Here is a 16651-nt window from a genome sequence, read left to right on the forward strand (position 1 = left end):
ACCTAACTGTATTTGTCATTTGCTTTAAGTGCTTTTGGAATTTTCGACAAAATATGAACTAAGAACTCCTAATTCCCCAGCTACTCGGAGTTTGGTTATTTGGAGTTACTATAGTGCTCAAAAGTAATGCTGTTTTCATTTCAGTAAAAAATCTCTACCATTAAAATTTTTCACTAACTGACTGGGATGCTCTATATTTTGAACACAAATTTGAAAAGGCTAAATCACAGCAAGAAAAACCAGAACACCCACATCCTTGAATTCTAGAGACAGTCTGAGAAAAAAACAGACTTTTTCCTTCCTACACGATCTGTCCTATCCAATCCTTCTTTCCATAATCCTTTTTCCTATTACTTTTATCTACTTGACTTATCTTGCCAAATCTTCTCTGTATCAGGCACCAATAATTAGCTTCACAATGAGCACCTAGAACTTGGATTATGTTTATAGTTCAAAAATTAAAATGATTTTTTCAGGAAGCAAAGGTGTGAAGACTAAGAGGAAGAAAGTTTGGTACAAAGAGTAGGGAAAGAAGAATGCTAACCAAGGATTGCTTAAGGATGTCTAGGCTGTCTGACACCCTGAGTTTGGGGCAATGACTGATAGCTGATGACTTACTAGTGAACCCCTGAGTGGGCTCAAATTCTAATTAGTCTTGCATGCTGGCACCATGACCCAAGCAGTATACACAGGGCTAGAATAGGACTGGCCTGGGATTTGGGTCCTGGCTCTACAGATTAGAAAAATGATTTAACCTCTTTAGATTCCAATGTCCTTACCTCTAAGATAGAGATTATGGCAGACACTGGCTAATTATTTTCCAAATTGGTTCCTTTTCATGGGCACATCTATTTGATGACATTTTTCAGCCTCCCTCCAGTTACATGTGACCATGTGACTGAGCCAATGAAATATGAGCAGAAGTGATGAGTGTCACAACCAGACCAGATCCATAAAAAACTCCACCCTTGGCCCTCCAAGCTCTTCTCCCTGTTGACAGATAAACTGGAGATGTCCTCCTGAGCAACCTTGGAAACCACATATTGAAGATGGTCTCTGAATCACCCCTGGCCACCTGACTGGGAACACCAAATAGGATTGCTACATGAGTGAAAAATAAACAATTTCTGGGCTGAGTCACTGAGACTTGTTTATCTGTTCCAGCTGCTGGAGCTACCTTCACCAATACAGGGGTAATCATAGTACCTTTTACTGGGAGGATTAAGTGAGATAATGCTTACTCAACTGCCAGGTACACGGTAAGCACTCACCATCATCAACTTTTACTGTAGCAAGGAAGAGTTTACAGACCTGAACCCAGAAAGAAATGGATGCACTCAGGATTTAGAACCTAGAGGAGAGTTTTCACATATTTCTATTAGTTGGGCAAAATGGCTTTGAAAAGTCATCTTTTCAAAATATTTCAATATGCAAATCATATGCTCACCAATATGCTAAGCAATATGCTAAAGATTTACTAGTGATTTGCTGACCAAAATCAAATCATTCACATATTTTGAAAAGGTGAACTGGTTCAAGACCAGTTCAAAACTAACATATGCTCCCCCAAGAAACGCTATGCACTCTTTCACAAAATAAGAGAGTTAAATACTCTACAGGTACTTTCATCTTGGCCACCAACAAACTCCAAGCTCAATGAGAAATCATATTGTGTGCATAAAATTGGTAAACCAGATTTCAGACTGGTGCGCTGAGTCTCAAATCCTTGGTTACAGTGGCTCACTTATGCTTCACTGAGGCCTGAGTAAACGTTCCCTTTTGTCAGGAAGGAGTTTAGCAGTGATCTTGGGAATTCATTCTGGTCTGTGCTTTGAATGCTAATGGAAAACATTAGTATTTTCCCCTGGGCAGTACTCCAAGGTGCAGTATGGCTGGTAATCTCTGTGCAGGGCAGAATGAGTCAGCGGCCTCTGAGTCACTTTACCAGGATGCATCCCAGGCTTCACACAGCAGAGTGGCTGGTCATGAGGAGGTCTGAGGCCCAGAGCACAGCAGAACAGCCCAGAAAGAAAGAGAGAAAACGGCCCTGAACAATTCCCTCAGACTCCAGTTCTGAAGAAAGGAGATAAAATGCCAACAGCTGAAAGTCCTCACCGTTCCTCATTTAAAGGAAATTGATATGAAATAAAAATGTGGGAGCAACAGATGAAATATGCTTACCAGGCAGCAGGTTCATACAGGCAATCTTAAAATTTTAAGTTTTATTCTTTTAAGTTGTCTGAAAAATGACTACTGTCACAGTAGTATACATTAGGGGTTGAATTTTGTCCCACAAAAACTTTTATGTTGAAGTCCTAACTCTCAGCACCTCAAAATGTGACCTTATTTGGAAATAGGGTTGTTGTAGACATAGTAAACTAAGATGAGGCCAGGCGCCATGGCTCATGCCTGTAATCCCAGCACTTTGAGAGGCTGAGGCGAGTTGATCGTTTGAGCCCAAGAGTTTGAGACCAGCCTTGGGCAACATGGCAAACCCCATCTTTACAAAAAATGCAAAAATTAGCTAGGTGTGGTGTGCACACCTGTAGTCCCAGCTACTCAGGAGGATGAGGTGGGAGGATCCCTTGAGCCCGGGAGGTGGAAGTTGCAGTGAGCCTTGACTATGCCACCGCACTACAGCCTGGGCAACAGGGCAAGACGCTGTCTCAAAAAAATAAATAAATAAACTAAGATAAGATTACTAGATGGGTCCTAATCTATTATGTATCCTTATGAAAAGGGGAAATTTGAACACAGAGACATGCATAGAGGGAAGGTGATGTGAAGATGAAGGCAGAGATCCAGGTGATGCTTCTATGCACCAAGAACACTACAGATTACCAGCAAACCATCAGAAGCTAGGGGACAGGCATGGAGCAGATTCTCTCCCACAGCTCTTGGAAGGAACTTATCCTACCAACGCCTTGATCATGGACTTCTAGCCTCTAGAGCTGTGAGACAATAAATTTCTATTGTTTAAGACGTCTAGTTTGTGGTTCTTTGTTATGCCAGCTCTAGCACACTGATACAGCACATACACAAGAATAAATCATACTGCAATTGATCATAATAAAAAGTGATCAAGTCAGTGCATGGCTATTGTCCTTCCTGAGTAAAGACGCTAATAATGACTAACAGTCTTTTGGGAGATGCTTAAAGAAGATGTAATAACATTTGGTGTCAGCAAGGGAACCATTAATGTACTGCCGTGAGCAACCTTGCTTCAGTGGCACTTCATTAGAATGAAAAGATGTTTCTTCCCCTTAACGTTTTAATATACTGCTTTACTAGGGAGTAAACTAGGCCCAAGAAGTATAATCATTACCAGTTCTGCTGGCAAGGGAATAAAGGCAACGTTTGCTCTTTGATATCCATAAATTCTCTTCTGATGATCAAATCAACAAGCAACAAAAAGGCCACAAAGGATCAGGTGTAACAATAATCAACAAAGGGGATTCCAATATGTCATGTGCATTCCCCCACAAGACGCATGCTACTTTCACACTTGGAATGGCTTGGAGGCTGAGCGAAATGAGACTGCAGTTATCTTTTCCCACAGTCCCCTTATTAAGAAGAGCTGCCCCTCTGGCCATGCCTCTGATAAGGCCATTTCTACACACCGCCCCTCAAAATCTCATCCATTCTGACTTCCTGTACTGAGCAAAGCATTGAAACTCTATTATTGTAATTACTTGCTTTTTATGTATTTCATTCAGTAACTTATATAACAATGAATATTTGTGAGATAACTACAATAAAAATGAGAGACAAGGGGTTTAGAAGCTTTCTTCTTATCAGAGTGCCAGATAACCTATAACTATTGAAGGCAGTGGTTTCTACCTCCCAAACTCAATGGTTCCCTCTGAAGAGCATGCTGTGTAAGTTACAGGGAGATAAATCTTTCTAATTTTCTGAATACTTCTACCCAAGAAAATTAACTGGGTCATCAGCCGTATAAAGGCCATGACTTACACAACGGTAGAATTACAGCATTGCAAAGAACCATTGAAAATGCAAGGAATCTTCATTCCCATATCCCCGACATGCTGCAGAACCTATAGTTGATTTCTGCCAGTGACAACAGCTAACGACTTTGCAAAGCCTCCCACTCCGTTTTTGGAGAGCGGGATAAGCATACTTTCTATAAATATGTGGGCCATTTTTCATCTGCTTGATGTTATCCTTCAACCATAGTTGTCTGGAAGAAACTGGTTGGGAGAGGAAAAAGTAGGCTGCTTTGGATGCCTAGCTAAGTGGCTTTGCTTTCCTAGCTGATTTATTTAAATCCAAAAGGAAATATAAATCAGATAGCAAAGGGGCGAACTGCAAACACCCATAAGTATTAACTAAATATTTGCATTTACTAAGCATCTACTATGTGCCATCACTGTTACAGAAAACTGAAGAGAGAGAGAAGTCAGATACCATCAGTACCCTCAATTAATTTAAAATACTATCAGACCATGATTAGAAATATTAAACAAATTCAAAAGCAACGGAAGATCTAATGTAAAGAGTGAAGTCCTAAGTTGGTCACCTAGACTACATTTAGCTAGAGTTCAGAGGGTGGTAATAAAAAATAGTGAATCTGTAAGAGTTATCATGATGCACCTTGGTTGACCATGCTTTGGAGGATGAGCAAGATTCGGAAAGTCATAGGAACTAAGAAGGTTTCTTTGAGAATACACCTAGATTCAAAGAGCAATTATATAACTGTTCCAAAATCCACAAAATAAGATTGTGAGGATTCTGTCAATATTTTTTAAAGTGAGGTTAATGGGAATGAGAAAGGAATGCTGAAATATAATCAAATATGAGTAGGGATTGGGAAAATACCACTGCATCACAGGACAATCTACAGAGAAAATTAAACTCTGACATTAACTTGGGAATTTTTCCAGCAGACAGATTGGATAACTGATTTGCATTTTTTCTTTCAAGGAAGATACAGGATGTTACTAAGGAGGTTTTTTTTTTCCACTTCTCAGTCATCTTTAATATCCCCATTATGCAAAAGTGAAAAGTTCTCATTCAGCCTATAAGAGTTTAAACTGTGTACCCTTCTTTATTATACACAAATGTCCTCCTTTCCTCCAAGATCATATAACACTTTCAGAGATGTGCTTAACCACCTGATTAATTACTGGACCTCTGTAAATTACTTTCAAGATTAAGATGATTATTTTATCACTTATTCTGCTTGATAGACATTTACAGTTTAACACATCTGACAAAGCCATTTGCATACCCCTATAATATAAATTGAGGTACATTAAAGCTACAGTAAGTCTGTAATATGAATAGCCTTAAAATAATTTGCTAATTACAGACAGTTCCCTAAGCAATTACAAGACATTCTATGTTAATTTAGGAAGGAATTCCAAACAAGGCATTTAAAACCTAATAAGATGCCATTAAATGAAGGAAGACAGAGGAGAGGGGAACAGAGAAAGAAAACCCTAAGGCTTGAACTAGTAGAAATGATTCTTAGAGCTACTGACCCTTGCAAGATCCATGTTTTCCTTGGGTTCTTAGGCACAAAGCAGAGTTCTAATTGATGGTGATTATATAGTTACTACCTCACAAATTGAATATATTTGTTGAATTGATTCACATCAATAACTAGTCATATGGAGCACTTATCAATCTGAAAGTCCATAGAAACAGTTGAGTCAATTTATCAAGTGCATACAATGAGAACATGCTCTGTAAACTGTGAGGTGCCACCAAACATCACAGTTTGCCTCCTAGTTTTCATACAGATTTATAAGCTGAATTATAATGCGTATGAACTGGAAATAAATTTGACAAAAAGATCACGAAAAGAAAGCACCTGGCTTGCTCTTGGGTTTTCTGAGGATGTAGACACCAATATGAGTGCCTGCTATTCCAGAGAAATATACACATTGATATAGTCAACATCACCATGAGAAAAAGAAGAATAGGTCGGGTGTGGTGGCTCACGCCAGTAATCCCAGCACTTTGGGAGGCCAAGGCAGGCAGATCATTTGAGGTCAGGAGTTCAAGACCAGCCTCACCAATATGGTGAAACCCTGTCTCTACTAAAATACAAAAATTAGCCAGGAGTGGTGGCGGGCGCCTTTAATCCCAGCTACTCAGGAGGCTGAGGCAGGAGAATCACTTGAACCCAGGAGGTGGAGGTTGCAGTGAGCTGAGATGGTGCCACTGCACTCCAGCCTGGGTGACAGAGCAAGACTCCACCTCAAAGAAAAAGAAAAAAAAAAGAATGGCAACACACAATTCTAAAAACCAAAACACAAATTCCTATAGAGCATATTTCATCTCCATAAACTCGACCTAAGAGCTAAGTGCCCAACCAAATGTAGATAACCTGGTAAAGACAATACAACAGTAAAGAAATACACAGACTTCTACAAATGCACAAATGTGCCTCTGTAAAATATAGTTCCCATTAGTTAGGTTAATTAAGATTAACATATAAGTCATTGAAAACTCCCAAAGTAGACAAAAGATAACTCACCAAGGAAACACACAAAGACAAAAGTAGCATTCGCTCTGAGCCATTCAGTTAACAGTTTGGAAGGAGGTTCCTTGTTAAGTAATACTTGAGTTGTCACCACTGATTACCAAAATGGCATGCATTCAAATAGTTTTGAAGATCAAAAGACAACTTGCTTTTTTTTCTTTTTTCTTTTTTTTTTTTAAGAAAAGTTCTATGAACAATACAGGGTGGTACACAGAAAATATGGAAGTGAACCTAATCACACATATCATAATTGCTATTAAACAGGTTAAATATACACCCACATCTGAGTGTTTGTTTTAGGCTTTGTTTTACTGAGATGAATGAAAGAGCATTCATCTTGAGAATCCAGGTTTGGCATTTTTCATTGACTTAGCATAGTGTTTTCACCCAAATAATAACCTGCCACTATATTCCAAGTCAAATGTATCACAAAGAAGCAAAGGACTATCATGGACTTATCCAATGGAGAGAGTTACATTCCAGTTGCTCAGACTGCAATTGTGGGAAATCAATCAATGCTAAAAAAGCATTCCCACCCTTACCTCAAGGTTCATGCTCACAGTACTAATGGCCACTTTTATTTCTCCATCTGACAGCTCCTTTAGATCTTTCAACATTGTCTGTTCAATACTTAAACCTGTGGATGACAGGAAAAAAAAACATTATGTTATACTTGAGGGATTTTTTTTTTGTAATATCAAGCGATGTTTTGAAGAATTTACTCTGTAAATTTCATTCTTTGCCCCTCAAATGTCACTTTTATCCACAATAAACACACACACACACACTAAGGCAATAATCACATCACGTCTGCATCAGTTAGGATCCCAATAGGAAAAATGCACCTCTTTTGCTGCAAAAGAAGATGTGTTAATGGCAGGACACTTACAGAGATGTGGGCTGGGTGAGAAAGTGAATAAAAGATGATGAGGCATCCAGAGACTAGCAAAGGGACCCAGAAAGAAAACAGAGATCTGTAACTTGAGAAGACTGGCTGCAGAAACTTCCACCTAAGCAGGAAGAAGGCAAGGAAGATCCACTACAGTCTCATTCTTCTCCTCGCCTCCATCCCTACCTGTTCCTAACTCTTCCTATTGGTCAAACCCAACCAGAAGCCAGTGTTGTGGGAGCCCATAAGATTAAATACTTAGGGGTCCACCTCTGGAGCCCCAGAGCAGACAAAGGCAGGGAATAAAAGGGTGGCGGTGGACAAATGAAGAAAAATTAACATCACCATGCAAACTAGTTAAGTAACACCAAAGAAAGCCAAAACTGGCTTTCAGGCTGCATTTAGGTAAGCCCCCATGTTTTCTAGTATAATTTCATTCAAAATGCACTTTACAAATGTGACTCGTAAGACTATCTTAATTAAGTTGCTTACCCTCGTAATAGGCTCTGACAATAAGAGTTATTAAATTCCCTAATTAATGGGAGTAATAATCCAGAATGGCTAAATTATCCAGAACTGCATAGTTGTAGTCAGTTGACCAATGGAACTCAATGAAATCTATCACAGTAAAGCAGCAAAGGATCTGGCTCGACATTTAATTCTCGCGCTACATTATTACGTCTGATTAGGCCTACTCTCTTGGGAGGAAGATCTATAATAAAGCCTGGTAAAGCACTGCACCCTTCCCAGACGTATGTTAAGGCTTCAGAGACCACTGCTTGCACTACCTACTTACAATGCTCTGTCAATCACATGAGGAAACAGACAGGCACTAAATATTTTTCTTTGACTCAAAAATTGAAAAGCCACAATCTTTCACAATGCAGCGTAAAATGATTCATTGAAGACATTGTGACATTAAAAGTTTGGTGTCATTGTGAAAATGAATGACAAAACACATTCCCTTGTGCAGCATACACACAAGGACATGCACATCTATGCATAGGTAACAGAAGGTGCAATGGACGCTGCAAAGGCCCCACCCCATTTCCTCAAACTTTCCCATCCCAGTGCACCCAGCATGATGCTCCACCACCAGCACCTGCCTCTCTTTTCCTGAGGGCTTTCCTTGGCCACCAGAGCCTACACTGGAGAATTAAGGCCCCCTGGGTCTGAGTAGCCCACACTCTTCCAGTGGTCTGCTGGTAAATGTTTAACGGCCAGTAACAAATCCTGATTTGTAGTGTTTGTCAATTTCAGGGATCTAAATACTCCTACCATGGCTGATCTCAAGCTACCAATCATCACTCAACTCACAAAATTCCTGAACATTTAACCATCAGCTCCTGGAGCCGAGATGAGCACACCACTGCATCCCTCAGGTGGGACAGAGTTTACACTCTTTCTCATGGTCTCTGGTGGGATTAAGCTCTGGTTTCCCATGGAGCCAACTTGCTTGCTGAAGCATTCCATTCCCCTATCAGTGTTGACTGGAACCACCTCCCACATAAACCACTTTGCCTCAGGCTCTGCCCCCTCCTGCCCCTGGGGATGGGGTTCCTGAACTAAGAGAGAAAGTTATGTAATTTAGTGTTTACATCTTAAAGACATATAGGCTGGGTTTAGGCCTTGCCTGGCCACCTGCCTGCTATGTGTGTTTGATGTTGGGAAAGCAATGAAGGCTTTCTGCACTTCAGTGTCCTCCCTCACCTGCAGACTGGGACGTCAAAGCACTGACTCTTGGGGTTGTCATGAGGAGGATTCAGCAAGAACATCCTTGCCAAGCTATGCCATCAAAACCTGTATACAGTAGGTATCCAGTGAATTATAGCCTTTTGTTATTGTAAAACAGTTGATCCAGGAAATTCACTGTCCTGACAAAGCCTAGACTCTGACAACAGTTTCTTCAACATAGCCATCTTCTCACTCATTTCCTTCTCAAATTAACTGATTTATGAAATCCCATTGTGCTTGATATTGCTCCTTCCATCTTCTCAAAATAGAATCCTATCAGCATAAGGATTGCATGTAATAATGCACCTGAGATATGCACTAGAGACATGAATTAACCACACATCCAGACACAAAGGCCTCGGAGGAGAGGCCACAGTACAAGCTGTCTATTTGCAGGGGAGTCAACATTATGTGCCTGAAAACCTTCCACCAGCACAAGCAATAGGAAGAAGGTGAAACACATTCAAATGTACCTTCTCAGCTGGGCATGGTGGCTCACACCTGTAATCCCAGCACTTTGGGAGGCCGATGCAGGTGGATGACTTGAGGCCAGGAGTTCGAGACCAGCCTGGCCAACATGGTCAAGCCCTGCCTCTACTAAAAATGCCAAAAATTAGCTGACTGTCATGGTGCATGCCTGTAATCCCAGCTACTTGGGAGACAGGCATGAGAATCACCTGAACCCGGGAGGTCGAGGTTGCAGTGAGCTGAGATCATGTTACTGCACTCCAGCCTGGGGGATAGAGTGAGACTCTGTATAAAAAACAAACAAAGAAACAAATATACCTTCTCAGGTCTGATGATGCTCCATGCCACAAACCATCCCTACTCGGGAGGGACAAGAGAGCTGGGGACAGAGTCACTCACCCTGAGCACTGAACTGGGTCTCCTGTAGGACGTTGATGATGTCCTCTCTTGGAGGCAAGTTAGGAAATTTTTCTTCCAGGATAGAAAGAATTTCCTCCTGCTTCTCTGAGATCTTCTCTGATTCCATGGTCATCCACTTGAAAAGAATGCTACCTGAAAGGTATGAATAAAAATGCTCTTAAAGCTTTCCAGCCAAGCCAGAACAGGGGCCAAGAAAATCAGTGTTTCCTGGCCTCTCAATCTAAGCTTTCCATTTCTGTCTCTCACCTGGACCAGAGTCCTCCACACGTAACATTCAAGAGCCAATTTTTAGAAAACAATTGAACCATCATCCAGCTTCATTATTCTCCAAGTACTGCTCTCTACAACTTAACTGACCCTAGCATACTCTATGGTACAGAATTCACAGATAAAGGAAAAAAATGTGTATATTCCCCCAACCCCACACAAACACACAAAAAGATATGCATTGGTCTTAAATGATTTCAAAAAGGAAGTTAGTGGTAAACTATTTAAAAGTCTAATCAGCCTTATTTCCTTTAAAGGACCAGAAAGAATACTGTTTCCACTCATTATATTATTAATTTTACATACAAACTTCTTCCTTTTCACACTAAATGAATGTATAATCCCACGGTCAACAGCTGAGGAATCTGACAAGGTGGCTAACCTGACGTCCATTTCTGATCTCCCAAGCATCATACACAGTTTTAAAGTCATTTACAATTATCTAATTATAAGGACTCACAAGCTGGGTCTAAATCACAGGTTTAAATTACAAAGTAATTTTCCAGTGTGAAGGACCTTGCACAAACTCCTGTGACTTCTGTGGATAATCTCATCTTGAAAGGGAGGAGTTAGCACCCCATACGTACTCTTACTCTTCCCTGCATTCCAAGCCCAGATTAACACAGAGTCACCATGGGAGAGAGAAGTTTCGCTTAATGACAAATGATTAAGCTCTCTAAAAATCCCCAAATCTGTTGACTAATCAAAGTACTACCGTCTCTGTTTCAGTGTAGCCTTAACGCCAGTCATGGGGGAGGGAAAATGGAAAATAAATAAAAGAGGAAAGAAGGTAAAAGGGGAAATAAAGCATCCAGTGAGGGAAAACTATGGTACCCAATCCAAACACATGGCCTGAGACCTACAGAACCTAGAGATGAGGTCTACATTTACCATCAAACATGCTGGAAAGTCCCAAGCAAGTCGTCTGGCCTCCGTTTCCAGTTTCCCATTTTTAAAACAGGAATAATACTGCTTTCCCAGCTCACAGTGTTATACTAAGCATCAAATGAATGTAAACATCATAAAGAAAAGTAAATATTGCTAAATATATTTAAAGCATTTCATCCATTCATTCCCTCACAAACAATTACTGAGTGCCTTTTATCGGCCAGGCAGGGCTCTATGCTAACGATTCAAGATTAGGCTAGAGATAACCTTGCCTCTTGAAGCTCACGGGAGATTAGAGGTTACAAATAAGTAAGCACAGACATTTTCAATAGCAGAGAATAAGAAATATTATGGGTGAAATACATAGTACTCTGAATCTAGGCCAAAATCTAGGGTTCAGAGGAGTCTTCCTAGAGAAAGTTAACCTAAGCTGAGCTTGAAGGATAACTAGGGACTTAAGGCAAAGACAAGAGGGAGGTCATGATCCAGAAAGAGCCTGTGCAAAGGCACTGAGGTGGGAGGGAATTGGGCCAGTTCAAGGAACAGAAAGCAATTAATTACAGGTAGATGGTATGATTTTAGCAAGGGAAATGTTGAAAAATTAGGTTGGAGAGATAGAGATAGATAGCGGGACCATGAAGGGCCTTACAAGCCGCCTTAAAGTTTGTCTTTTATATTTTAAGAGGGATGAGGAATCTTTCAAGAGTTTTAAGTAGGGAAAGTAACATGCTCACATTTATGTTTTATAAGAATCACTCTGGCTATCATGCAGAGAAAAATTTAGATAAGGAATATGGGGAGAATCAGTAAGGAGGCTGTTTTGGATAAGAAAAAAGGAAAGAACAGTCAGCACACAGAACTAAACAGATTCCATTTCAACAGTCATTTGAAGGTGGAGGGCAGCCAGCTGGATTTTGTGTATACCCTGTGGTCTGTCAATCTCTGACATAAAACTCATACTATAAAGATTATTTTTCCAGCCGGGCGCAGCGGCTCATGCCTGTAATCCCAGCACTTTGGGAGGCCAAGGCTGGTGGATCACCTGAGGTCAGGAGTTTAAGACCAGCCTGCCCAACATGACAAAACCCCATCTCTACTAAAAATACAAAAAATGAGCCAGGAGCGGTGGCGGGTGCCTGTAATCCCAGCTACTCGGGAGGCTGAGGCGGGAGAATTGCTTGAATCTGGGAGGCGGAGGTTGCAGTGAGCTAAGATCACGCCACTTCACTCCAGCCTAGGAGACAGAGTCTCACTCTGTCTCAAAAAAAAAAAAAAAAAAAATTCCCCTCTTTATTAAGGCAATGGTAAATATGAATTTCAGAAAAGATCTTCATCTGCCTCTCGCTCTGATAGACTGCTTGTACTAAGAACAAGGATAAAAGCTAAATCAAGTTTTTAAAAATCTGTGAAAGTATCACAGAGTTACCCAAGTAACTGTCTTGGAAGCTAAGGTCCTGGAGAGAGGGTAAGTGCACAGAAGTGAGCCCAACATTTGGTGTTGCTTTTCCTCTTAGGATATTTGCTAATTCATAAGTGATAAAATAAGCCAATAGGCTGAAAAAATTAGCAAATCTAACAGAAGTTTAACAGCCTATGGAGACAAAAACTAAAGTTTAGGGCCCTCTACAGAAAAGGAGTTTTAGTTAAGTAACCCGGTTTTGAAACAGGACCCCTAGAGAGTTATATCCTAGGACAAGGGTTGGAAAACTACAGTCTGGAGATAAAATCTGGCTAATTGTCTGTTTCTATAAATGAAGTTTTATTGGAACACAGCCATGTTCATTAATTCGCATATTGTTTATAGATGCTTTTGTACTATATTGACAGAGTTGAGTAGTTTCAACAGAGACTGCAGACACACAAACCCTAAGATATTTACTATCTGGACCTATACCAACCCCTGCCTAGGGAGAAGGGTGAAGCAAAAATGGATCAGTCTTCCTGAGGACCGAAATCCTGATTTGAATTGGCTTAAGCAGAGAATAGTTTTGTTTTGTTTTTTTTTTTTTAATCTGCCACTCTTCAAACTGCCTTTGGGGTTCAAAAGTAAATCCTCTTGAGAGCAAAATAATTTTGTCATCTTTAGTCTCATCATCTCCACATTTTTCATATACACTATTCAGCCATCCATAACAAATTGCCAATCACAAAGGAAATAGAAGAAATGACTGGAAACTCTAGAAGAATAAACTCATGAGGAAAAGAATAGAAACAGAATCAGAGGGGATTTTAAAAATAGCTGAAGAATTACAATAGAGAATTAGAATCTGTAAGTAAAATAATCAAATGAAATTTTAAAACTGTCAATTTAATAACTTAATTTCGAACTCAAATGTTTTTACAGCAGATTAGATGCATGGGGGAAAAGATTAGTGAATTAGAAAATAGGTCAGAAGAAAACAACCATACTGAAGCATGGAGAGAAAAAGCGATGAAAAATACAGAGATGAGCTTAAGAGAGATGGAGAAATGGAGCAAAGTCTAACAGATAGGCAGTAGTTCCCCTTGGAAAGGAGAGAATGGAGCTGTAGCAATATTTGAAAAGGCAATTGGTATACTAATTTTTCAAAATTAATGAAAGAAAGACATTATTCAAACGTTAAAGAAAAACTGTGGGTTGGGCACGGTGGCTCACACCTGTAATCCCAGCACTTTGGAGGTGGAGGTGGGTAGATCATTTGACATCAGGAGTTTGAGACCAGCCTGGCCAACATGGTGAAACTCCATCTCTACTAAAAATATAAAAACTAGCTGGGCATGATGGTGGGTGCCTGCAATCCCAGCTACTCTGGAGGCTGACACACAAGAATCACTTGAACCTGGGAGGCAGAAGTTGCAGTGAGCTGAGATCATGCCACTGCACTCCAGCCTGAGCGATACAGCAAGACTCAGTCTCAAAAACAAAAAAAGAAAAAAAAAAAAAGAAAAAGAAAAACTATGAGCCCAAATCAGGATAAAGACAAAGACAAACACCTCTAGGTGCCTGATAGTAAAACTGCTAAAAAAATTATGGAGAGAAAAAATAAAAATTAAACCAATCAGAGTAAAAAGGGCATTAAAAGTATGACTGACTTCTCAACTAAAATGATGAAAGTCTAAAGACAATGGAATTACATCTTCAAAGGGCTAATATAAAACAATTGCCCATCTAGAATTCCATACTGAGTGAAAACAATTTTTTTTTTTTTTTTTGAGACGGAGTCCTGCTCTGTTGCCCAGGCTGGAGTGCAGTTGCGTGATCTCGGCTCTCTGCAAGCTCCACCTCCCGGGTTCACACCATTCTCCTGCCTCAGTCTCCCAAGTAGCTGGGACTACAGGCACCCGCCACCACGCCCAGCTAATTTTTTGTATTTTTAGTAGAGATGGGGTTTCACCATGTTAGCCAGCATGGTCTCGATCTCCTGACCTTGTGATCCGCCCACCTCGGCCTCCCAAAGTGCTGGGATTACAGGCTTGAGCCACCGCACCCAGCCAACAAATTCTAAAAGAAGGCAAAATAAAGGCATTTCAGAAAAAAATGAAAGAAGTCTGAAAGTATGCGTCACAAGATCTACACCAAAAGAAACAGTAAAGGCAGAAAAAAATTATCTCATAAGGAAGCAAAGAAATGCAGGAAGAAAAGAAAAACATTGGACAATGTAAATATGTGGGTAAGAATAAATTCAATATTCACTGTATAAAACAATTATAGTAATATTTTAAAGAGTTTAGAATTATAGTAATATTTTAAAGTTTAAAATATTATATATGGATAATTAAAATACATTTTAATAGTAACAAACTGAGGAGAGGCTAAGTAGAGAGAAGCTGTTTTAGGTTCTAAGATTGTCAGGGAAATGATAAAATTATCAATTTATATGATATTTTAACTGTATGTTGTAATTGCTATCATAACCACTAAAAGAATATCAAAAACACTTATTTAGTATACAGCAGTAAAGAAATGAGAGGAAAAGAAGAAAATGTGTGACAAGTAGGAAACAAACATCAAAATAATAAATTTAAACCAGATGTAACAGCAATTACATTAAACACAGAGACAAAGCACTTCGATTCAAAGACAAATATCATCAAACTGAATTTTAGAAACCAAAATGACAATATACTGCTTACCAGAGCACACCTTAAATATAATCATCGGAAGGTTGAAGGTAAAAGGATAGAAAAACATAAACATGCGAACACCAATCACAAGAAAGTTGGTGTAATATGCTAATATCAAACAAAACGGACTACAAAACAAGAAGAATTACATGAGATTAAGATAAATATTTCTATATTAATAAGGGGTCAATCCTCTGGAAGATACATCAATTCTAAATTTGTATGCACTAATAGCATAGCTTCTAAATATATAAAGCAAAAACTGAAAAGACTAGATGAAAAATGAGATAAATACACAGTCACAGTGGAAAATTTTAACACATCTCTCGCAGCAACTCTAAGAACCAGCAGGAAAAAGTATGCAAAAATATAGAACGTTTGACCACCATGAGTAACAAACTTGACCTAATTAACATATATTAAATTGTTACCAACAGTGGTGGACTATACTTTCTTTTCTAGTACAAATGAAACATTTACCAAAATTGACCATCTGTTGAAGCAGAGTTTAAGTTCTAATAAATTTCAAAAGGTGGCCACTATAGAGTTATAGTCTGTGGTTACTTGAAAAATAGTCTAAAAACAATAACAAAGTAAAAACAATGCACTTCTATATAACTCATGGTAAAAGAAGAAATCACAATGTAAATCAGAATATATAATACTTTTAACTAAATGAGAATGAAAATATGACACTTTAAATTGTGAGATTCAACTCAAGTTGTGCTCTAAGGAAATTTTATACCCTTAAAAGCGTTAAGTGTTAAAAAAAATACACACACATTAAATTCACCTAAAAAAAAGGTAGAAGGACAAATATAATAAACACAAGGCCAAAGTTAAAGATGAAGGAAACAAACACATATGGAAGAAATCAATAAAACAAAACTTGGATTTCTGGAAAAAACTAATATAAGGAGTTTTGAAAACAATTCAAGAAAAAAAGAGACAGGAGAGAAAGAAGACATAGTTTACCAATATTAATAATGAAATCGTGACATAACTAGATTCTACGGACATTAAAAGATACTAACAACTTGGTTTTAATAAGTTTTAAATTTTAGAAGACATGGACACCACTAGGAAAATTCAACTTGCCAAAATTGGCAGAAAAAGAAATAAAAAACTAGACTAGTTTTGTATCTATTTAAAAATGAATCCATAGTTAAGTCCATAATTCCAAATATTTAAGAAATGTTAATTTTACACAAATTATCCCAAAGAATAGAAAATGAGAGATTTCCCAAAAGTCTAAAGACAATGGAATTATATCTTCATTTTATGAATTTTATGAATCTAGCAAAACCTTAATACCAATTAAACTAATACTAGTTTTTAAAACTAGTCCCAAGTCAAATTCAACAATTTATAAT

At 38.9% G+C, this 16651-nt stretch overlaps 1 protein-coding gene across 34 annotated transcripts in view; it reads right to left on the reverse strand.

Moving 5' to 3' along the window:
- The window catches only part of PRUNE2 (prune homolog 2 with BCH domain), a 294739-nt gene that overhangs the window by 205206 nt on the left and 72882 nt on the right, over positions 1–16651 (reverse strand). For all 34 annotated transcript variants that reach the window (NR_131751.2, XM_047422884.1, XM_017014349.2 and 31 more), the window contains 2 exons: positions 9999–10151; positions 7051–7145 (listed from right to left, as the gene is read on the reverse strand). Coding sequence is in view for 33 of the 34 variants with exons in the window: in XM_047422884.1 (XP_047278840.1) it covers positions 7051–7145; positions 9999–10151 (248 nt within the window). In the remaining variant the exon portion in view is untranslated. The remainder of the gene's footprint in view (positions 1–7050; positions 7146–9998; positions 10152–16651) is intronic.

This window comes from Homo sapiens, chromosome 9 (genome assembly GCF_000001405.40).
Source record: "Homo sapiens chromosome 9, GRCh38.p14 Primary Assembly".
Taxonomy (NCBI): domain Eukaryota; kingdom Metazoa; phylum Chordata; class Mammalia; order Primates; family Hominidae; genus Homo; species Homo sapiens.